Source organism: Homo sapiens, chromosome 7 (assembly GCF_000001405.40).
Source record: "Homo sapiens chromosome 7, GRCh38.p14 Primary Assembly".
In the NCBI taxonomy this organism is placed as follows: Eukaryota; Metazoa; Chordata; class Mammalia; order Primates; family Hominidae; genus Homo; species Homo sapiens.
The window spans coordinates 156,814,904-156,839,760 of record NC_000007.14 but is presented as its reverse complement, the minus strand read 5'-3'; the positions used below and the strand labels follow the sequence as shown (position 1 = coordinate 156,839,760).

At 37.5% G+C, this 24,857-nt stretch overlaps 1 protein-coding gene across 28 annotated transcripts in view, besides 1 other annotated feature; it reads left to right on the top strand.

Moving 5' to 3' along the window:
- Positions 1-24,857, top strand: part of LMBR1 (limb development membrane protein 1) — a 224,172-nt gene that overhangs the window by 53,423 nt on the left and 145,892 nt on the right. For 20 of the 28 annotated variants that reach the window (XR_007060137.1, XR_007060136.1, XR_007060135.1 and 17 more), the window contains exons 2-4: positions 2,876-2,948; positions 5,969-6,008; positions 13,017-13,156. Coding sequence is in view for 12 of the 28 variants with exons in the window: in NM_001363410.2 (NP_001350339.1) it covers positions 2,876-2,948; positions 5,969-6,008; positions 13,017-13,156 (253 nt within the window). In the remaining 16 variants the exon portion in view is untranslated. Of the gene's footprint in view, positions 1-2,875; positions 2,949-5,165; positions 5,284-5,968; positions 6,009-13,016; positions 13,157-24,857 lie in introns of all 28 variants that reach the window. The other 8 variants (NM_001350957.2, NM_001363411.2, NM_001350955.2 and 5 more) reach the window with 5 other exon arrangements.
- Positions 18,573-19,073: an enhancer, noted in NCBI's record as "H3K27ac hESC enhancer chr7:156613382-156613882 (GRCh37/hg19 assembly coordinates)". NCBI's record gives its function as "activates a minimal SCP1, AML or CMV promoter by ChIP-STARR-seq in primed H9 embryonic stem cells {active_cell/tissue: H9 hESC(primed)}" and the evidence as "EXISTENCE:reporter gene assay evidence [ECO:0000049][PMID:30033119]".

The window sequence follows — 24,857 nt, the reverse complement described above, 5'->3', positions numbered from 1 at the left end:
TGCTGTCAGTACTGTCTTCTGTTTCTCTCCCTTGTGTATTGGGAGAGCTTTGGCACACAGCTAGTAGTCTTCTTCATTCTCCGTTTGTCATTCCTACATGATGATGTGCAGGGAATGTCCACTATCCTGGTCCAAAGTTGTTCTCAGTCATATGGCCACCAGTACTTCTTCAGAAATACACACAAGGGATATTCTCTAGACTTCATCATCACTCAGAATGGTTTCATTTGAGAGTCTTCAATTTTTTTTTCCATGTTCCACAACAAGCTGTGGCAAACCTTTATTTCTAGCACACAGTCTTTGACTGTAACGAGATCTCCTGTTGACCCATCCTTTTTTGTCGGTCTGGCATTCCCCAGATCTGATAGAAATTCAATTGAAATTAAACAATTAACCTGATTAAAAAATGGGCGGCTGGGCACAGTGGCTCACACCTGTAATCCCAGCACTTTAGGAGGCTGACACAGGTGGATCACCTGTGGTCAGGAGTTCGAGACCAGCCTGACCAACATGGTGAAACCCCGTCTCTACTAAAAATACAAAATTAGCCAGGTGTGGTGGTGTGAGCCTGTAGTCCCAGCCACTTGGGAGGCTGAGGCAGGAGAATCACTTGAACCTGGGAGGTGGAGGTTGCAATGAGCCAAGATCGCGCCATTGCACTCCAGTCTGAACAACAAGAGTGAAACTCTGTCCAAAAAAAAAAAAAAAAAAAAGCAAAGGACTAGAATAGATATTTCTCAAAAGAAGACATACAGATGGCCAATAGGTATATGAAAATGTGTTCAACATCACTAATCATCAGGGACATATAAGTCAAAACCACCATGACCTATCACCTCACATCTGTTAGGGTGGCTGTAATCAAAAACACAAAAGATAACAAGGGTTGATGAAGATGTGGCGAGAAGGGAACCCTTGTACATTGTTGGTGGGAATGCAAATTAGTATGGCCGTTATAAAAAACAGTGTGGGGATTCCTCAAAAAATTAAAAATAGAGCTGCCATATGACCCAGCAGTACTTCTGCTGGGTATATATCCAAAAGAAATGAAATCAATGTGTTGAAGAGATACCTGCCCTCCCATGTTCATGACAGCACTGTTCACAATAGTGAAGTTGTTGAATCAACCTAAGTGTCTGCCAGCAGATGAGTGGATCAAGAAAATGTAGTGTATATACACAAGGGAATACTATTCAGCTGTAAAAAAGAAAGAATCTTGTCCTTTGCAGCAAGATGGATGAACCTGGAAGACATTAATTATGTTAAGTAAAATAAGCCAGACACAGAAAGACAAATACTTCATGATCTCACTTAGATGTGAAATTTAAAAATGTTGAACTTTTGGAAACAGTGAGTAGAATGATGGTTGCCAGGGACTAGGGGTGGGGGCTTGGAGAGATGTTGGTCAAAGGGTACAAAATTTCAGTTAGGTAGGAGGAATAAGTTCAAAATCTATTGTATAACATGAAGACTATAATAAATAACAATGTATTATATTTTGAAAATCACTAAGTAGATTTTAAGTGTTCTCATCACAAAAAATTATAAATATTTGAGGTAATGAGTATGCTAATTAGCTTGATTGAGCCATTCCACAATGTATCTTATTTTAAAACATTTTGTACACAGTAAATATGTATAACTTCTATTTGTCAATTAAAAAAGCAAAATTAGGCTGGTTGCAGTGGCCCATGCCTGTAATCCCAGCAGTTTGGGAGGCTCAAGTGGGCAGATCACTTGAGGTCAGGAGTTCGAGACCAGCCTGGCCAACATGGTAAAACCCCATCTTTGCCAAAAAATACAAGAATTAGCCAGGCATGGTGTTGCCTACCTGTATTCCCAGTTACTCGGCAGGCTGAGATGGGAGAATCGCTTGAATCTGGGAGGCGGAGGTTGCAATGAGCCAATATTGTGCCACTGTACTCCTGCCTGAGCAACAGAGTGAGATCCTGTCTCAGAAAAAAAAAAAAAAAAGCAAAATTAAAAATACAGAATTTAATGATATCTTAAAGAAGTCTTTTCTTCAACTGCCTTTTATTTTGATATGGGGTATATCTATTGAATAATTATTTCCCACCTACATTGATTTGTGATTCCATTTGTATGTTAAATTTTTATATAGTGGAAAATGTTTAATGTATCTGTCAATTTTTGGTGCTGGCACATTCTTTAAATGAATTGAAGCTTTTGATAATGTTTTAATATTTGGTTGTGTTAGTAGTTTCCAGTTGACTTTATTTTTCAGAGTTGTCAGTGGTGATGGTCTGATTCTTCACATTTCCACATGATTTTGAAAAACATTGGATCAAGTTACGGAAAGAAAAGTCTCCATTGGGCTTTTTTTTTTTTTCAAATGGTATTAAATGGGGCTAATTGACTAGTTCATATAAATTAATATTTTATTAACACTTTTTTTTTTTTTTTTGAGATGGAGTCTCACTCTTGTTGCCCAGGCTAGAGTGCGATGGTGTGATCTTGGTTCATTGCAACCTCCGCCTCCTGCGTTGAAGAGATTCTCCTGCCTCAGCATCTCGAGTAGCTGGGATTGCAGGTGCACCGCCACCATGCCCTGCTAATATTTTTTTTTTTTGTATTTTTTAGTAGAGACAGGGTTTCATCATGTTGGCCAGGCTGGTCTCAAACTCCTGACCTCAGATGATCCACCCGCCTTGGCCTCCCAAGGTGCTGGGGTTACAGGTGTGAGCCACCATGCCCAGCCTATGTTTTATTAAAACTTTAATGAGTAAAATGTCCAGCATTTTAACTTTTTAGTAGTTTAAATCCTTTTTTCCTATAAATATCACAGATATATCTTCTAGTATTTAAAAAAGATATGCAAAAAAGTAAATGATCTGTTAACTTCGTTTTGTTTCAGATATGTTTCCTTCTTTTTGCCATTCTCTACGTTGTTTCCTACTTCATCATCACAAGATACAAGAGAAAATCAGGCAAGTGGAAACATGTCAATTAAAACCTTTGTTAGAATGCCACATGGTCTAGGCATGGTATATAAGATATATTAGTACACTTCAGTGTCATAGTGTATTGAATATGCCGGTGATTGAAGTAAGCAGTTGTCTGGTACTAGGAGACCTAAAAATAACCTCCAGGGAATCTGACTACTCTTAGAGTCATCCTCTTAGACCAGAGTCCTTGTTTATCACAATTCTTATGTCCAACTAAGAATAGTGCTAGGCTATTTAGTATCTGGGAAATTCCCGAGTTTATAAGGATATTTGGTTCCTTGTGAGCGGCTCTGACTTTGAATGTTTTACTCATCCACACCTCATACCTTTTCTGGCTACTAGAGCATATAGTAGATATTTAGAGTCTCCATAATACTATTTAGTATCCAATTACTAGCATCTTGTATTATCTTTTTATTCTTTCACATATATCCTTATCCAGCCAGAGGGACTACCATATCTTTACTCTTTTTAATGAACTTTGTGCTCATTAATTCAGATTTTTTAGGTCAGGGTTTTATAAGTACCTAAGCAATTACCTTACTATTTTTTGTTAAATCTCAGCTGTTTTCTGAAAATCACAGGATTATCTGCTTGTGATGTTGGGCTAATAGTAGGTGCTGTATGAATACTTAATGATTTCTTAATATTATGCTATCAGTTTAAACTTGCGGGACTTTTGAGAGAAATAGGTTATAGTGCCTGCTCTAGTGTATTAGTTTAGTACTGTTACTTGGCTCTGTGACTGCACTTGAAGTACTCCATGGATTCCATAACCTCTAAAAATTCTGAAGATACAGATTCAAAATAGTATCGTAGCTATTTAAAAAAATTCATTGGCATGGTTTCATGAACTGTAGACACAGAAGGAGGGAGAGAGAAAGAATGAATGTATATAAATGCATCATTCTAAGTGAAATTAGAGGTTGGTGAGTGGGAAAATTGGAGATTTATTAGATCATTTTTAGAGTAACGCAGGAGTGGTGGGAGAGTGATGAGGACCCTGGACCTAGTTGGTAGTGTGCTGGGAATAGAAGTGAAATGAATATGGAGACATTAACACATTCTCTAAGACTTGATGTTTTTTTTTTTTTTTTTTTGAGATGGAGTCTCACTCTGTCGCCCAGGCGGGAGTGCAGTGGTGCGATCTCGGCTTACTGCAGCCTCCACCTTCTGGGTGCAAGTGATTCTCCTGCCTCAGCCTCCCTAGTAGCTGGGATTACAGGCATGCACTACCATGCCCAGCTAATTTTTGTATTTTTAATAGAGACAGGGCTTCACTATGTTATCCAGGCTGGTCTCGAACTCCTGACCTCAGATAATCTGCCTGCCTTGACTTCCTAAAGTGCTGGGATTATAGGCATGAGCCACTGCGCCTGGCCAAGACTGGATAATTAATTGGATGTGAGCACAACAGTATATAAAAATTAATTGTAACTATGTTCTTTTGTGGTCCCTTTGGTTGTAAAAGTTCTTTTGGGAATCTTGGAATTAAGAATGGAGGTGGACTAACAGAATGGCCCAAATACACCCTTGACACTGAAGCAGATGGGTGCTCAGAATTCCAGAGACCTGAGCAGAGAGTCTTGGAGGACATTAGGCATTTAAGAAGGAGGGGCCAGGAGGGTTTGTGGTATTCTTTTTTTTGTTTTGTTTTGAGACAAGTCTCGCCCTGTCACCAGGCTGGAGTGCAGTGGCGTGATCTCGGCTCACTGCAACCTCTGCCTCCTGGGTTCAGGTGATTCTCCTGCTTCAGCCTCCTGAGTAGCTGGGATTACAGACGCCCGCCACCGCACCTGGCTAATTTTTGTATTTCTAGTAGAGATGGGGTTTCACCATGTTGGCCAGGATGGTCTTGATCTCTTTACCTTGTGATCCGCCTGCCTCTGCCTCCCAAAGTGTTGGAATTACAGGCATGAACCACTGCGCCCAGCCTGTGGTATTCTTATAATTGGGCAGTCTCTTTAGCTTGTAAGTTTATGTGGGAGGACAAAAGAGATTGCTGACAGGCATGAGCGAGAAGGAGAGTGTGAGTGAAGACCATCTGCTACTTAAAAAAGATTAAACAAACTTTATATATAATATAATTTTAAATATATTTCAATATATTTAATATATTTATAATTGTATATATTTTATTATATATTATATATAATTTTTATTTCTAAATATATATATACAATTTTTTTTTTGAGATAGGATCTCCTTCTGTCCCCTAGGCCGGAGAGCAGTGGGGCAATCATGGCTGACTGTAGCCTCGACCTCCTGGGCTCAAGTGATTCTCCAACCTCAGCCTCCTGAGTATCCTGCACTACAGGCATGTGCCACCATGCCTAGTTAATTTTTAAAATTTTTTTGTAAAGATGGAGTCTCCCTATGTTGCTTAAGGTGGTCTTGAATTCCTGGGCTCAAGAGATCTGCCCACCTCAGCTTCCCAAAGTGTTGGGATTACAGGTGTGAGCCATTGCGCCCAGCCAATTTCTGTTTGTAACAATAATTATGAGTTACTGAGGCAGTAGTATCCAAGTTATTTAGGATGGTCCAGGAGACTCCTTGTTACTATTATTAATGACAAATTCATATTATAGAAAATTATGAGTTCTATGTTTCTGAATTTTAATTTTATAGTAACTTTTGTTGGCTGTTATCACCCAGAAAATTTTATTTATTAGCAGTTTCACTTAACATTGTATAATAATTTACTTTGTAGTGGTCCTAAGGTTGTACTAAGTTTTATTTTCTTGAGCAAATTTTAATTTACATATGGTAGTTTTATTAATCAGGATTTTGTTAATTGAAACATCCCATTCTCTATATACCATACTACTTGATTTAATGAGATTTAAATTTGGATCTATGCTGAAACAAATACAGTGCTTTTTGAAAATTGTTTCTGTTCAATAATTGCCTTTTAAGTTTATATTGTGTTTATAGTTTTAATAAATTAATGACGCATTTTGTTAGAAGATAAAGGAATATTAATACCTTAAACATTTTTGCAGATGAACAAGAAGATGAAGATGCCATCGTCAACAGGATTTCGTATGTATTTTAAAGTTCAGTTGTTCTGTTTCTGATTCTGAAGTCATCAATTCTCAAAATCCAATTCTAATTTTTGGATAGAAGTATGGAAAATATTCACCCAGCACATTACAATAGCTTTATCATATTAATTTTAGAAAGCACATGTAAGCAAATATGTGTGGATAATCCAATCTCCTATTGGAATTTGCATATTTAAGGAGCTGACAGATTTTATCCTCAGGGGATTAAATGAGGAAATGGCCTTAATTTAATTGCTTGGTCATAAGAAAGAAGACTCTTGGCTGTTTGAACAGTCTGCTGAGAAGACTATGATGCTCTTGAACCGAGCAGCGGACATCTCCTCTGGTTAGCTGAACCTGCCTGCTGTGAGCAGGAACATGGGCCCAGACCGTCCTGTAGGTTCCTTATGTACACCGGTGAGATATGATAGGGAGGTCCTGTAATTTTATTGAAGTATCAAACTGAATGGAAAGCAGCGAATTCCTTTCTGTTAGTTTTTGCTTGTTTAAATGTGAAATTGCACAGATGCACCTATGTAGGAAAGTTCTGTATTCCAGGATTTTTTTATTGATACATTAAAATTCTTTTGAAATTTCAAGTTTATAGAAAAGGTGGAAGTAGAACACAAAGTTTTTTTTACTCCAACTGTTTAGAAGTCGCTCATCTGATGCTTCATTTCCTCAGGATACTTTTATGTATAATTCCAATAAACAGTGCATTCTACCTATGTATCAAAATAGTGAAATTAGCATAGACAGCGGTACCACTCACACTCCATTCAAACTTACTAGTTATCCCAATAATGTCCTTTCTGTAGTGAAAGGATCCAGTTCAGAATCACACATTGCATTTGGGTGTCATGTCCTTTAGTCTCCTTCAGACTGAAACACTTCTTCATTATTTCCTTGACTTTCCTGACCTTGATAATTTTGAAGATTATTGAGTAGTTATTTGGTTTTGTCTGATCTTTCTTCATAATTAGTATCAGATTATGCATCCTTTGCTGAGGAGGATGAGGAAGTAAGAAAAGGGGAAGAGGAAGAGAAAGATTCTGTGTGCTTTCACATACTTGTACACACATACAAATAAATGCTTCTACATACAATGGAATAGTATTCAGCTGTAAAAGAAATGAAGTACTGATACATGCTGCATTGTGGATGGACCATAGTAAGTGAGCGAAGCCAGACACAAAAGGCCACATAGTGTGCAATTCCATCTATAAGAAATGTCCAGAATAGATAAAAGCAGATTGATGATTGCAAGGAGCTGAGGGAGAGGAGAATGGGGAGCAGCTGCTTCATGGGTTTGGCATTTTATTTTGGGGCAATGAACATGAAAGAAAGAGGTGATTGTGCAACATTGTGAATGAACTACACACCCCTGAATTGTTCACCTTAAAATGGTAAATTTTATGTAATGTGAATTTCACCTCAATAAAGAAATTAATAACTCCCAGCTAATAAATGACTTGACTCTGCCTGATTTGATTCATAACTGAAAAATGAATATAAATGGATTGTGATTTACTAGATTTGGTAATTTATTTTAAATGACATAGGGAAGCTAGATAAGAAACAAAAATAGCTGTAACTTTATGCTGGAAATTCTTACTCTCACTTTAAAACCTAGGCCCAAAACTTGATGTTTTAAATTTACAGAATTACGGGTTTTAGTTTTATTCTTAGCCCTGTGACATTTGTGAAAATTAAGTGAATCATTTTTTTCCTCTGTATAAATTAGAGCTCCTTTAAAAATTCACTTCACTCACCTCACAAAAGCTACAACGAATAAGAGACTGAATAAAAGGTAGATATTCTCTCCATGTGAAACCCTCTAGGTGTGAAGGGCAAGTGAGATACATACCTTTCTCCTCTCCATTCAGTCTGTGTGCCACCTGTGGTGGTAAATCGACTTCAGTGTACTCGTAGATCCGTAATTTATAAACAGAAAAGAACACATCACTTTGTCTTTTACCCCTAAAAGTACATTGAATGACAATAGGGTGATGTGCTGTTTCCTTATGGTAGATGCCCAGGAGCATCTTACCTGCTTTTGGGGCAGCTGGCACAGCACGTGCGAGGGGTTTGGGTTTTCCGAGTCACGGGTGGTTTCTGTATCCTGGGGATGCATACAGAAATCCTCTTCCTGAAGGTCAGTGGGTTCGTATAAAGTGGTGATACAGTTAAGGGAGGGGCATGGGGAAGAGGGTCACCTGAGGAGGAGTCTGACTAGTCTCCCTCATCTTTCTTCCCTGCCCTTATTGATCTCTTTGTCTTTTGCTGTGGTAGAATGAGTGAGAACTGATGAGTTAGGGTGATCTGGGTTCAAATTCTGGACCCATGATTAACTTGAGTCCAGAAGAGATGGAGAAACAAATATTCACTTTCTGTGTATGTAAAACAGAGTTCTCACCTACTTTGCAGTACTGTTGTGTGGATTAAATAGCATTTGCCAAAAAAAAAAAAAAAAAATCTAGGGTAGGGTGCTTGATACAATTAGGGGTGAAATTAATGTTTCCTCCACCGTAGCGCTTTTGACCTGTTTTGTCTGCTTAGAATTCTTTTCTGTCAGATATCCCACTGAATTAACTCTCACCTTATTTAGTTTTGTTTTGCTTTGTGTTTTTCCCTAAGTCTCAACTTTTCAGTGAGGCCTTCCCTAAGTGCCACACTTAATATTGAAACCTGTGTGTCCTCCTCCCCATTTCCAGTCTTCCTTACCGTGTTTTCCTGTAACACTTATCATCTTTAGTTTATTATACATTTACATATTTAATGTTTTATTGTTTATTGCCTGACTCTCTGCAGTCCAGGATAAGCCCTCCTTGGGCAAGAATGTTCGCTTGTGTTCGTTCACTGTTCTCAAGTGCCTAGCACAGTCCTGGCACGGGAGCAGGCACTCTGCAAATACCTGTATAGTGAGGGAGCCCCACCTGAAAGACCCACTGAGGTAGAATCTCCGAGATGGGCTTTAACAAAAGCTCCATAGGTGATCCTGACAGTGTTACCGCTTAAGAATCACTAGTTTAGAGTGACGTATTAGGAAGCCTAATTCATGCAGCAAATGTTTATTGATTAGCTGAGATGAAGACTTAAGATGGAATGCTGGTATGCCAACATTTCACAGATGAATGTAAAATGTCACTCAATTTGTTACTTTTCTGTTGCACAGAGAATCAGACCTTTTGATGATATTTGGGAGGGTGTGAGCAAAATGCTAAATATGAAACTTTCTTTGTCATCAACACTATATACATCTTACTGAATAATTTTGAATGATTTAAATTCAACTATGATAAAGTCTTGTTTCCATATGTACTTCTTGATTAGATATTATCAACCTGTTAAACTTTAAGATGTAAAGTGGCAGGTTTTGCTTATGATTAGTTTTTTTAATTTAAAAAAATTGAAATACTAACCCATGAAATATATTTTTATAGTAATCTGTATTTTGCAGTGGAGTTTTAAAAAGGTGAGGTCTTTCATTTTATTGATAACTACAAATAAATAAAAAGCATTTATTTTTTGTTTAAAAAAATTGAGTGTCACATTGAGTCTGAGATTGAAAAATGAGGAAGAGGGAGTATTGTAGAAGTTGGGGAAAGAGTTTCAAGAAGGAAGTAGTGCTTATCAATTTGAAATGTCATAGAAGGTCACATTCAGATTGCAATTAAAAAGGATCTGATGGATTTGACCGTAAGGAGCACCTGTTTCACTCTAGGTGAGGAGCAGAAGTCCTACTGTAGTGGGTTAATAAAGAAGTTGAGGATAAAGAAGTAAAGGTGTGATATGTGAGTTCTGCTTCAGAAGCATTTTGAAAGAGCAGAAGCACCTGAGGATATTTATTTTTGGCCGGTCAGCAGCTAGAGGGAGGATGACTAACCGGTGAAGCAAGGCCCCTGGAGACGGCAGAGGTAGAGATCGGCACAGATGAGCAGGAGGTTGACAGATAGGAGAATAATTGTGTCTGTTGATAGCTTTATCAGGTGGTAAGTATGGAGGGATCATACCCCTTTTTTCATTCTGAAACGGGAGAGTCAGTCATTTGCTGGGAATGAGGAGCAGCAGGGCCATGGTAGAAAGCTTAGGAAGAGCCTGATAGTGTTAGTCTGTTATGTGTTGCTATAAAGGAGCACTTGAAACTGGGTAGTTGATAAAGAAAGATTTATTTGGCTCGCAGTTCTGCAGATGTACAAGCATGACACTGCCATCTGCTTGGCTTCTGGTGAGGCCGCAGGAAGCGTTTACTCATGGTGCAAGGTGAAGGGAGATCAGGATTGAAGAGAAGGTGCCAGGTTCCTTTAAACAACCAGCTCTCTTGTGAACTAACAGAATGAGAACTCACTCATTACTGTAGGGTCTGTCTGCTCCTACGATCCAGTACCTCCCATGAGGCCCCACCTCCAACACTGGGGGATCACATTTCAGCATGATATTTGGAGGGGACAGATATCCAAACCATATCACTGTTAGGAATAACACTGAAAATCCTAAGGAAATTGAACGCTCAAACAAAGAATTCTTAGTAAAGCAATTTTACTTCTGCGCAGAGGGGTGTCTCCTTGGCCAGTCGCCATGAGAGCACACCTGAATAAAGGGGCACGAGAGCCTTTATTCCTGACGCAAGTCCTGCCCCTGTATGCTTTCCCCGTTGGCTGGGGTCGGATTGTACAATCTAATCCCAGTTGGCTAAACGTTTGATTTTTTTTAGATAAGGTAGGCACGTAAAAGCGGAGAGGAAAGGGAAAGGGGCGTCTAATGAGCTAGAAAGTTCTCTTTCCAAATAAGGAATGTGAGCTGGTACTGATAACGCCTGGTACTGTGGTGTGCCTGGGCATCTAACAAAGGCAAAAAGGAAAAAGGAGGAAAAGGGAAAATTTGGGTGGGGCACCATGAATTAAAGAGTAAAAGATTGATCAGATTATTCGAAGAGAAACCTCATCATATCCCACATCACTGATGATGGGGGTTAAGAACAGGAGATGAGAGACTCATAAATCAAGGATCCTGGTCCTTGTTTGCTAACTGAAAGTATGTGAAAGCTTTGTGGAGTGTTAAAGTGATTTAAGGTGGTTTTATTGTTTTAATTATCATCACCTTGCAAAGACACTTTACAATATGATCTGTAGATATGGCTTTTTTTTACACTAGTTATATTCAGTGACTAGTTATATTCAGCATCTGAGTGTATGCCCTCATCACCTTATTTTATTTAGACAAAGGTTCTGTCTTCCTGGTTGGATTGAGGACCTAGTCACAAATGTCAGATATTTGGGGAAACACTTGTCTTACTACCACAATTAGAAAAGATGCATTACTCTGAAGATGTAATTTTTAAAAATAATGCTCCATTTCAGAAGGTGAAGTTGAGGAATGCTTCACAGGGCAAATGATGTTTAGGGTCTGTCTTGAAATTCATGTATGAGTTTGCCATGCAACTTAGAGGGTATTCTAGGGAGTGAGTAGACTGTGCAGAGGGGCAAGAAGGAACCCTGAAAATCCATTTCATGTTTGGGCTATGAGGGGGTTAGGTAAGTCTAAGTGTATGTCGAAATGGGTCATAGTGAGAGAAGAGCCTGGAAAATTATCTTGGGATAGCCGTGTGGGACCTGGAATGGTGAGATTTTGGATTTGATCTCAATTTTAGCATAGGAAGGAATGATAGCAATCAGGATAGCTTCCTCCCATGACTGGAGAAGCTTGCTGGAGACCGCTTGCTGGCTGGTCGCTGCCAGAGCTGGCTGCGGACCTGAGACAGCACTTGTCTGAGGGCTTTTCCCAGGAAATGCGGTGTCTATTGAGCAAAATGAATTCACAGAAATTCTGTATCTGATATCAGTTGTATTTTTCTTAAGTATCATATGGTCTGTATTTTAAAATTTATAATTGATTTACTAAACCAAGGAGGTTTCCTGGTTATTTTTGGCTTTTGAAGTAGGAATACACTTCTGTTGGTTGCCACAAGATGGCATTGGCCTCAAAGTTTCTCTGTTAGATGTGTTTTTGGGTATTTAGTATTTTTTTTTCCTGCTTTTAAAAAATATTTTCTTATATTTATTTTTACTTTCTTCCAATATTAACTTTAATAGAACTTTAATATCCATTCTATCTCTAATATTAGTGAAGTTCTTTTTTCCTTTGCCAATTTATCCTTTTAAAATCTTTTAAAAAGTTAGGTGTTTCTTGTAGAAAATAAAAATGTTTCAGAAATGTGTAACTGAGAAGGTGAAAGCACCTTATAATCCCTCTTTCCTATGGGATTGTTACATGTTATGCTGGATTTTTTTGTACCTCTGTATAAATATGCATTTGGTGGGGGGAGAACATGTTTTACATTTATTGTCCATGCTTTTCTTCATTATTTTGTTGACTTATTTTAGATATTCTTCCATATTAGTACCTATTAAAGCTATCTTTTTTATGACAAAGTAGTGTTTTAAATATTAATAGTACAATACTGTTTAATAGTTTTCTGTTTTTTATTACTATAATTTATTTAATCTTTACCCATTAAAAAGATGTCAGGCCAATGGCTTTCTAAGTTTTTTTTCCTCTGAAATAAACATTTTAAATTAATTTGTTTTTTTATACTGCTTTCATAGTAATTTTTTCACCTCAGTTGTTGCATTGCTGTTAGCATATGTTGTCAAAGTTGTTAATTAAATGCAATTGTGAAATAAATACTTACATTTAAAAGAGGAATGAACTACAATTTTTTCTTTGTAAAATATGTGAAGTACTGTGTCTTCAGTATGTCTTTATCTTTTAGGTACTATTTGTTAGACTTACTGACCTTTTCATAGAGTAAGGAGTTTTAGAGTTTATCTAGTTTAACTTCTAGGCCCATATGTATATCATTTGTCTCCCAACTACATATATTTAATAAAGTTCTTAATATAATGCTTTTTTGATTAAAACATTAAAGAGTTTGCATTCTTTTTGATGACTTTCGTGTTCATTGCTTTTTCAGATCACTTGTGATGGTGACTCTCCTTTCTTCCAGGTTGTTTTTGAGCACGTTCACTCTCGCAGTGTCAGCTGGGGCTGTTTTGCTTTTACCCTTCTCAATCATCAGCAATGAAATCCTGCTTTCTTTTCCTCAGAACTACTATATTCAGTGGCTAAATGGCTCCCTGATTCATGGTTAGTATATATTGCTTAATATAATCACAATTAATATTTTAATTTTTTACTGCACCATATTTTTAGATTTTTCTTTTCTCAGTTTTCTTCATAATTTGTGACTTCCTCCAGTAAACGATTTGGGTCTTTAATAATGTCAGAAAACCAGATTTTACTTATCATTTCTATGTTTAATTAGTTGTGAAAGACTTTTCTCTTAGTTAAGAAGCAGTGTTTATACTTATGATTTTGATAAATACATTTTCATTTCAGTATTTAGCTAGAGTATTTTGGTTTATCTGACTATGTCAGAAGAACTCAACCTCCATTTAAGAACTAGAAAACTGGCCGGGCGTGGTGGCTCATGCTTGTAATCCCAGCACTTTGAGAGGTCGAGGTGGGTGGATCACCTGAGGTCAGGAGTTCGAGACCAGCCTGGCCAACATGGAGAAACCCTGTCTCTACTAAAAATATAAAAATTAGCCAGGCATGGTGGCACGCGCTTATAATCCCAGCTACTTGGGAGGCTGAGGCAGGAGAATCACTTGAACCTGGGAGGTGGAGATTGCAGTGAGCCGTGATCGCACCATTGCCCTCTGGCCTGGGCAAGAAGAGTGAAACTCCATCTCAAAAGAACTAAAAAACAGCAGCTATAGTTTCTATTTTATTTATTTGCTAGTAGTTTCTTTAGTCATTTCAAAATATAGAAGGGGAAAAACACTCTATGTCAAGTACAAATAGATATCATGGTGTATTGCTTTGTAGTCTTTGGGAAAGCCACTGTCCTCTCACCGCGGCTTCCTGTTGTCTTAGTTGGGATGATAAATAAAACCCAGCTTGTTTTTGCAATAGGAATGATGTATGTAAAGTAATTGTCTTTTAGTAGGCACTTAATAGGTGGTAGCTATTATGATAGTTATTTAGGCTGTGAGGTGTTTTCTTTCTGAAGAATCTTACTGTTTTTACAAATCAATTTAGTGTATGTAAACTGAACTCTTGTCTCTCATAGAACATGCTGGCATAATTCTTTTTTGAGTTCTAATTTATTTTTATTTTTTAATGTTTTAATTTTAATTTTTGTGAGTACATAGTTGGTGTATATATTAAAGGCATGCAATGCAAAAGACTCACATCAGGGTAAACAGGGTGTCTATCACCTCAAGCATTTATTCTTTGTTAAGATTTTGTAATTATGTTTTAGAATTATAGCTCTTAGGAATTTGGATATCTTTCTTGCTCATCATACCCATACCCGTCTCTCATTTTATTAGTGTTGATTTGTGTTACTAGTAACTATATTACTAATTATTATTTTGTTAATGTAGTTAGTTGGTGTTATCAGTGTTAATAGTTATTTTAATTTGTTATGTATTTCAATTTCTTCATCTCATTTTAAGGTAAAAGTTTTTTGAAAATTTTTTTTCTTAGTAAGAACCTTATGAGTTAATGGTAAAATGTCCTCCTTTGACAATATTTAAGCTAAGTTGCCATTTGACTTAAATATATATCAGAGATAGCTTGTTTCCATTAAATTTGTATTATAGGTCAGTGAATTTGGAATTTCTGAGTTAACATAAGGACGTGTTAGGATCTCAAATCCAGGGAAAGAAATGGAATAACTTGCTTGTGTGGTAGCGTTACAGCTAAGTATGCTTTCGTTTTTATCCAAGGAAAGAAATAGAATTTCTTGCCTGTGTGGTAGCGTTACAGTTAAGTGTGCTTTCGTTTTTATAGTAGGCATTTTCCACTTGGAAAACATCACTTTTTTTTTTTTTTTTATTGAGACAGGGTCTCGCTCTGTCGCCTAGCCTAGAGTGCAGTGACACGATCATGGCTGTCTGCAGGCTCCACCTCCTGGGCTCAGGTGATCCTCCCACCTCAGCCTCCCAGGTAGCTGGAACTGCAGGTGTGTGACACCACGCCAAGCTAATTTTTGGTGTTTTTTTTGTAGAGACAGGGTTTTGCCATGTTTCCCAGGCTGGTTTTGAACTCTTGGGTTCAAGTGATCTCCCACCTTGGCCTCCCAAAGTGCCGGGACTAGACATGTTGCCAAGATGTCACTTTTTATGTGTGACACGTGATTACTTGAGTTGCTGTAGAAGGCTGTGGTGCATTAGACTAATAATGTATATTCTTTTTTCATTGCTATTATGTTCATGGTGCTGTAATCCAGTGGAAGAAAAAGCAAGTTTAAATTTAAGAGATTACTAGTTTTATATGTAAGATAAATATACTTATTTGTCTTATTTCCTGTCTCTTGTTGTTTGAGAAAGTATAGAAGATAATTTTTGTAGGTGATGCTACCTTAGCAATCCCGTAAGCTTCTGCTGAGACTGTGGCCCTGTGTATTAAGAACAACAGCAACACCAACCGCTCCCTTATTTTTTTCTGCTCATAAAGTAGTGTGTGCTCACTATACAGAATATAGAAAATACTAAAATGTAGAAACAAGGAAAACTCCACATTTTTTCAGCGCGCGCGCGTGTGTATATATATATTGTTGTTGTTGTTGTTGTTGTTGTTGTTGTTGTTTTTTGAGATGGAGTCTCTCTCTGTCACCCAGGCTGGGGTGCAGTGGTGCGATCTTAGCTCACTGCAAGCTCCGCCTCCCAGGTTCATGCCATTCTCCTGCCTCAGCCTCCTAAGTAGCTGGGGCTACAGGTGCCTGCCACTATACCCAGTTAATTTTTTTGTATTTTTAGTAGAGACTGGTTTCACCGTGTTAGCCAGGATGGTCTCGATCTCCTGACCTTGTGATCCGCCCGCCTCAGCCTCCCAAAGTGCTGGGATTACAGGCGTGAGCCACCGTGCCCGGCTGCATGTGTGTATTATATATAGCATATGCAGTTTATACCTTTAAAACCTTTAATATTATATTGTGTTTTCCATACCTTTTATGTTCTTCAAAACCATTTTTAGTGGTGTAACCTGAGCCATGTATTTAGCAATATATTAAGCTAGTGGTTTTCAAAGGCTATTTCGTCATTTTAAAGGGTGGAACCATTTATCCCTCCAGTGACTTGCTACCTGCATTTTTTTCAGATTTGCAATAGAAAACAGCTGAGTTGTTCCTCAGGCACCAAACCCACCCTGTCCTCTTTGTGAAACATTTCACTTCACCAGTAAACTGTTGTTGAGCATCTAGAGGATTTTTAAATTTTCATTATTATTTGGGTTTCTGACAATTTCTTTACATGGAAATTAGAATGAAAATTATTAGGCTAATGAGTATTAATTGCTAAACTGTTTTCTAGAATTACTTGTTTATATTCTCTTGATAGACCATGAAGGTGCCTCTTGTTTTTAGCCATAAACTTAATAACAGTGAATATTAGTATCTTTAAAATCTTTTCCATTTTCATGGGTAGAAGGTAGTTTCTCATTATTGTAATGTTAATTTAAAAAATTTTTAGTCAGATAGGACATTTTAATTTTAATTTATAAAATATAGAAAAATATCTAATACATATATCATTTTATTTTTATTTATTTATTTTATTATTATAATTTTTTTGAGATGAAGTGTTGCTCTGTTGCCCAGGCTGGAGTGCAGTGGCGCAGTCTTGGCTCACTGCAACCTCTACCTCCCGGGTTCAAGCGATTCTCCTGCCTCAGCTTCCTGAGGAGCGGGGACTACAGGTGTGTGCCACCACGCCCAGATCATTTTTATATTTTTAGTAGAGACAGGGGGTTTCACCATGTTGGCCAGGCTGGCCTCAAACTCCTGACCTCAAGTGATCCACCCTCTTCGGCCTCTGAAATGCTGGGATTACAGGCATGAGCCACCGTGCCCAGCCCATGTATATTTTATTTGATTAATGTCCTTTGCCCTTTTTTGTGGTTGTTGCTTTTTTCATATTGAATTTATGATCTCTTTGTTTGAACACATCAGCTTTTCATTTCAATTTTTTACATGTTTTTCTGATTGTTATTTTGCTTTTTAATATTAATTGCTTTTTTCCAGAATTTGAATATTTTTTATAATATTTGGTTTTTCTTTTTCTCTTGGTGTCTCTAATTGTTTTTGTGTTTAGAAGATTGTTTCCCACCCTGAGATATGACAGCTAGTTGTCCCAATACCATTAATTGAATATTCTTTTCTGTACTGATTTTTTATGCTTCATTTTCAGTAAGCTAAATATTATATTAGCGTTTGTTTCTGGGCTCAGGTATGCAGGTTTTGGAGTCAGATAGACCTGGGCTTGAATTTCAAATCTGTCTGAAACCCTTAGCAACCTTGAGCATATTGTTTACGCTTTCAGAGTCTCAGTCTTTTATCTATAAAATGACCATATCAAGGTCTAGTTTATAGAATTATTATATGTAGTAAGTGGAATATATGTATAGTATAAAGTACCTAGTCTATTGCCTGGTGGCCAAGAGTAAGCAGGAAATAAATGCTGAGTTTTACTTTCTGTTTTTTCCCTCTGGTTTGTCTGTCTATTCCTATGCCAGTGCCATATTGTTTTAAAGACTGTAGTTTTGTAATACTTTGCTCCTACTAGGTTTTAAAAAGTTCATACATTTTATGAAGGTTTTCGTAAGCAAAGGCATGTATTTTGTGCAATATGGGACATTACAATGCTATGGAAATTTGTCTTTTAATTGTTTTGTCTGTGTTAGGGAAATGTATGTGTATAAACATGTTCGTGTGTGTTTAAATAAATAAATATTTGGTGGGGAGATTTGGAAAACAAAAGTCACAGTTAGCAGATTGGGTCCTTAGCAGTGGCTGTAGCCAGGCCAGCCTTGGTGAGTAGAAGGTGCTGGGTCCATGTATGATCTCCGTCCCTACCATCATGGTGACTTTGTTCCTGAGCCCATTGGGCAATGACAGGGGTGGCTGGGGAAGGAGGCTGACTAGTATCCACAGAGCCAGTCAGCCTATCCACTTAATTATTAAAATCTTCCTCTGCTGAGGTCACCCTTTGGTGAGCATTCACATGGGACACAAATACTTTCACATTTTTTTCCCATTCAAAGAGGTCTGTTCATGTACCTCATCCCAATTTTCTTATTTCCAGTTTTCCAATTGTGTTTCTTCAAGACTCTGAGCATCTGGCCAAACCATTGGCCATGGTCCATTAATATGTAATAATCACACATTTGGCTATTTCTCTTTCCAAGCAAAGCAAACCACCAGATGTACAGCCCATAGATCTGCCCATCGGAGAGTTTCCCTTCACCGCTGTCCTTTTAGGGATGTTCCAGAAAGGGGCAGTAGTGCTGCAGTTGTCCACTAACGTGGGGGCCTGCATATCATGCAGAACCATCTGTAAACCAGGCCCAGGTCTTCCTCCGTCAGCTGATTTTAGGGAACTCTCCAGGAGACTGTAGGTGCAGGCTGGGAGAGAGAAGGCAGCGTAGCGGGAGTGGGGACCGTCGGCATTGGCGGCACTTCTTTATGTAACTTGTGCCTTTAGGGCCTACTTAGGCCCAGACATGTACCACTTCCATTTGATGATGGAATGCTGCTGTGCACACCCAACTTTCTGGCTTGGTGGGTCGGAAAACATTCAGTTCATGATGGGCAACTCAGGTCCCATGGTAACTTGGTGGTCCATGTTTCAGCATTCAATCCCTACTAAAGCCCCATAGTGGGTCAAGAGCTGTTTCTCAAAGGCAGTTGTTACCCACAAGGATGGCAGGGCGTTGCCCCAACATCCTAAGGGCCTGTGCTGCAGTTCACCTTGAGAGGAACCTGCCAAAGGCTCCACACAGCATGCGTCTCTGCCTCTGCCCTTTCAGACACCCTTGGATCTGCTGGGTCATGTGGCCCAGGAGGCAGAGCAGCCTGCACAGAGCCTGGAGCTGCCGCAGAGCCTTCCCTCCTTCTGGGCTGTACTCAAAACCAGCAGCTTTTCAGGCCGCTCAGTAAACCAGCTGGAGCAACACACGCAAATGAGAAATGTGTTGTCTTCGAAGTCCAGAGAGGCCTGCTAGATGTTATGCCTCTTTTTTGATGCAGGAGGCGCCAGATTCAACAATTTATCCTTCACCTTAGAAAGGATATCTCCATATACCCTACAACACTGGACCCCTAGAAATTTCACTGAGATAGAAGGCCCCTAAATTTTTGTCAGATTTATTTCCCACTTTTTGACACACAAATGTCTTACCAATAAGTTTAGAGTGGTTGTTAACTTCTCACTCACTAGTTACAATCAGCAAAATATCGTCAACATAATGGGCCAGTGTGATATTAATATCCTATGGAAGGGAAAGGTGATCAAGATTTCTGTGAACTAAATTATAATACAGGGCTACAGAATTTATATACCCTTGACGTAGGGCAGTGAAGGCGTATTGCTGGCCTTGTCAGCTGAAAGCAAACTGCTTCTAGTGGTCTTTACTAACAGGGACAGAGAGAAAAGCATTTGCCAGATCAGTAGCTGCATACCAGATAGGTGGCATGTTAATTTGTTCAGGCAATGAAGCCACATCTGGTACAGCAGCTGTAATTGGACTCACCACCTAGTTAAGCTTAACGATAATCTTCTGTTATTCTGGAAGCTCTGTCTGTCTTCTGCACAGACCAGATAAGAATCGAATGGGGGTGTAGTGGGAATCCCCACCCCTGCATCTTTCAAGTCCTCGACGGTGGCAGTAATCTCTGAAATCCCTCTAAGAATGCAGTATTGGTTTTGGTTTACTGTTTTCCCAGGTAGATGCAGTTCTAGTAGCTTCCACTTGGTCTTTCCCACCATAATAGCCCTCACTCCACAGGTCAGGAAATCAGTATGGGGATTCTGCTAGCCATTCCATTCCATTAATTGCCTTCTGGAAGAGAGGAGACAACCACAGGATGGGTTCAGGGACCCGCTCTGAGTTGGGCCTCTGCTAAAATTCCACTGATTACCTGACCTCCATAAGCCCCTACTCTGACTGGAGAGCCACAGGGAAGGTCTCCTAGGATCAGTGTCAGTTCAGAGCCAGTGTCCAGAAGTTCACGAACGGTCTGGTTATTTCCTTTTCCCCAGAGCACAGTTATATCACTAATATTCATTTGTCAATCTGTCATTTACAGTTTTGTGACATTTATGGGATTCTGTGAGTACTCAGAAAATGTTCAGATTCCTTTAATCTCCCATGGAGCATCTGTTCTAGTACTTTCATGTTGAAAGTGTTCAATAAATATTGATTGATTGAAGGAATAAAAGTCATTATAATTATATCATTAGGAATATTTTGGCAAAAGTGAATTTGAAAGGAAATTTAATGGCTTATTTTATAAAATTGTCAGTATGGATGTTTTTGATTGTGCCTTTAATGTGTAAATCACATATGGATTAGAGGCTAAATGTGTTGATAATGCTTTTTTTTGTATGTGCAAATATATTTAGTTTGGCTTAAATATAGTGTTTGGATTTTGGATACAGGTTTGAGATGTTATGTGTTAACCATATTACCTTGGAATGCTACTTTACTTTTCTGGGCAAGAATTTTGTAACACAAATAAAATAATAACCTTAGTAAACTGTGTCATGTAAGCAAGATGTATCTCTGTCTGCAGTGAGAAAATAGCTTGAAAAATGTGATACAGAAAAATGACATTGGAGCATTGGAGTTAGGAGACCTGATGATGATCCTCTGGCCTCTGGGTTTTGGCTGGTGGTTGTCATCACTTGTCAGCTTGATGCTGTGAGATGTGTTCTGTCATTCACACAGTGTGGGTCCATGACATGCCAGCAACTGTAGTTTGTTGTAGGATAGGGCAGAGATGACAAATTAAAATGGTAGTGTAAGTTCTTTTTGTTGTTAAAATAGGAAAAAGGGTTAAAAAATGGACCGAAAAAATAAAGTATCCACTTCTATACATTTTCTATATCTTGTGTACTGTTAAAAAATTAATAGGAAAATATGAAACTCTTCATTTCCATAAGTTGAAAAACAATGATACAGCTGCTTTGTGGGTTTTCCTTTTGGGGGTGATAAAAATGTTTCGGAGTTAGGTAAAGGTGGTGGTTGCACACCATTGCAAATGAACAGTTCAGTGCAAATGCCACTGAATTGTTCACTTTAAAATCGCTAATTTTAAGTAATGTGAGTTTAATATCAAAATAAGAGCTAAATAACAATAAAAATTTGGAAGATAGGAAAATGATGGAGTTAGATTGTACCCTTAAATAAAACCAGGAAATAATTCTTCAGTTTTTGAGTGATTTTTCCCCAGTGGGGCCCAATTTTGGCTAAGCTGTCCACTCACTTATGACCAGAGATAGAGACAAAACAAACATTTGTGACATGAATGCCCAGTTTGAGATTGTCTGTTAAAATATAACCACAATGAATCCGACAAGTCACTGCAAGGACTGTGTGCTTTATTTTGATTTGTCATCAGGAATAGGCGATACACTGTTTGGACATCATGAAGGAACAATGCAAAATCCATCCTTTTAAAATTCATTTTTAAGTTCCATAGAAGATCCAAAAAACCAGACTTTTAGAGTATAAGCAGTCAAACTTAAGAAAATATTATATTTACTTATGAATAGATGCTAAGTCAAAAGTAAGTCCCTAATAAATTTTAATGTACTGTTGTTCACTAAATGTTCCTAGTCATTTGGGCTCAGTAGTTCAGTCATTTATCATAATGTGTATCAAGATAGTTACTGGATATTGAGGTATTGTTTATAACATTACAAATAGAAAAATCCTAGTGTTTGGGATAGGAAATTAATCATATCTTGTCGATCCAAACAGTGGAGTGCTTTTCTGGACATTATAGATGATAATGTAGGTATTTGTTGATATACAGAGATACCAGAAAAAAGCCCATATTTACGATCCAATGCCTATTTTGTAAAAAGAAAAAAGAGTACATGTGTAGGTAGCTGCATCAAAAAATACCTGGAAGGGTAAATACAAAGAGTTTAACTTTTTGTAGGATTTTATGATATGCATTTTTTTTTGGTATTTACATTGCATTTGGTGTTTGCATTTATACAATGGACATATTATTTGTTTTTTAAGAAAAAAGTTATGTGAAGATAAAAAGTCCCACATTTCATTGGTAGTTGTTATTTATTTTTCTTCTAAGTAAATAAGCAGAGGCTATTCTAATTCTGAAGTTCTCTCTCTGTCTGTCTCTGTCTCTCTGTCTGTCTCTGTCTCTCTCTCTCTCTCTCTCTCTGTCTCTTTTTACCCCAAATCAACAGTGGCTAATAATTCTGAAGTCCTCACACTACTTGAAAACAGACTGTAATCTCTTTTCTAAGCCTTATGCTTTGTTGGTAGAATTTTTAAAAATTGTGTAAATTGCTTTTTGATAATTGGATTAGATCTTTAATTCTACTGAAATATTGAACTTTTGTCATTTTGGAAATTATTGAGTATGGCTGAACTCTGATTAATTTTTTAATTTAAATTCATGAAGGCTTTTGTCTATGTGAGGAAAAATGATAAATTATTTCCTCTATAGTATTGTATATTGTAGTTTGAAATATTTTGTAACTCCAGCAGATGGAGCTAGAAGTTAATGCATCCTATGGTGATCTGGAAATTCAGTCTTGTTTTGTTTTATTTTAAACCACAGTTAAATAACTTTAAATTCAAATACCTTTTCTGGGGATGGGCATTGGATATCTTTCAAATAGGTTTCTGTTATAGTGTTGCTGAATTTTTTAGGGTTTGACTACTATATGGAAATATGTAATTTTACCTTTCTAAAGCAGAGCGATTTGATTAATATTTATTTTACAAATTAATATGAAATAATGTATAATGAAATATATGTGTTGGCCCTAACAGTAATTTTTAAGAATGATTTATCAAAATTATAGAATATTATTAAGGAATATGTATGTGTGTATGTTGATGTATATTTATAAAATGTTAGAAATTTACTAAGCTTTGCAAAATTGCCAAGAATGTAATTACTACTTAGCAATATATCTTAGATACATTATTATGTCTATGTATTAGATGTTCTTCTCATAGTATTTTTACTTTCTTATATATTGCAAATTGTATTAGATTAGCGTAAGTTGAGTCTGAAATTTTCACATTTATTTATTCTGGCTAATAAACTTATTATTTTGCATTTAATTACCTAGGTTGAAAAAAGCTGGTTGATCAGTACATGAAACAGGCATCTAATTTCTTGACAAACTAAATTAACTGGTATTTGGAACCCTTCTTGATTCAGGGTACTGAATCGTTTTCTTCAGTTGTCCAACAGACATTACTCCTTGTTTGATCTACTGATAAAGATTTCTTCACCCCGTCTCCCATCACTACTAAAAATACAAACGTTAGCCTGGTGTGATGGTGCGTGTCTATAATCCCAGATGCTCGGGAGGCTGAGGCACAAGAATCACTTGAACCTGAGAGGTGGAGGCTGCAGTGAGCCAAGATTGCACCACTGCACTCCAGCCTGGGCAGCAGAGTGAGACTCTGTCTCCAAAAAGAGAAAAGAAAAAAGGAAGAAAGAAAAAAAAATATTTTTTTCATTTAGCTTTTGATAAACTATCTTTGTTTTAATAAAAGTAAGTGTATTGGTTAGTCAGAAGAGATACTTTTTAGTGATTTGTGAGCATTGCCTAAGGCAAAGTTTTATTTTTTTAACTTTGACATCTAGAGAAGAATTTGAATTTTACTGTATAAAAGGGACATGTATGATTAGAAAGATAAATTCTGGAAGCATGTATGTTTATGGATCAATAACAATAGAAAGAGCCTTCTTTTATGCTCCAGAATTTATCTTTTTAATCATACATGTCCCTTTTATACAGTAAAATTCAAATTCTTCTCTGGATGTTAAAAGTTAGAAATAGATTTTAAACTTTTTTTCTTCTGAATATAAAAGCATAGTGGACCCTTAGTATTCGAGGATTTATATTCATGGTTACAACAATTTGAGAGCAATATTTGAGGCTCCCCAACACGTGGTAATTTGTAATTTTGCTGAGGCTAAAATCTAAACTGTGCACTCAGAGAAACTAGTAAGTAAAGTGAGCCACGTGGCTAATGAGTGAGCCTAGCTCAGCATCCCCATCTCAGTTTAGCTTTATTATTTTCTGCCCTTTTAATTCATTTTATGGGGGAAACTGTATGATACAGGGATGTGGGGAATTTTGAGTTTCACAAAGATGTTTAAATATATGCTTTGTGAATTTTAGAGGACTTTATATGCTTCTTACAGAAAACTTAGAATATCCAGACAAAAAAATCACGCACAGTTGTGCTACATTGATATTGTTAATTAGTTGGGGTATTTATTTGCAGTTGATTTTCTATGCCTGGTTTTTGTCATTGTCATTTTAAAATATTTTCAATAACACCTATGTATATAGGTTTTGCTGGTTAAATTTTTTTTTTTAGTGAAATTAATGAGAATAATTCTTTAAGGAAAGGGTTGAGAGCTAACTGTAGTTACAACCTGCATCATTTTGTTGTTGTTATATGGTCTAAATGCTGGTGTATGTCAGAACTTTTCAGTTTTTTTGTACTTTTTTTTTTTTTTTTTTTGAGACGGAGTTTCACTCTTGTTGCCTAGGCTGGAGTGCAATGGCATGATCTTGGCTCACCACAACCTCTTCTTCCCAGGTTCAAGCGATTCTCCTGCCTCAGCCTCCCGAATAGCTGGGATTATAGGCGTGTGCCACCATGCCTGGCTAATTTTGTATTTTTAATAGAGATGGGGTTTTTCCATATTGGTCAGGGTGGTCTCGAGCTCTCAACCTCAGGTAATCTGCCTGCCTTGGCCTCCTAAAGTGATGGG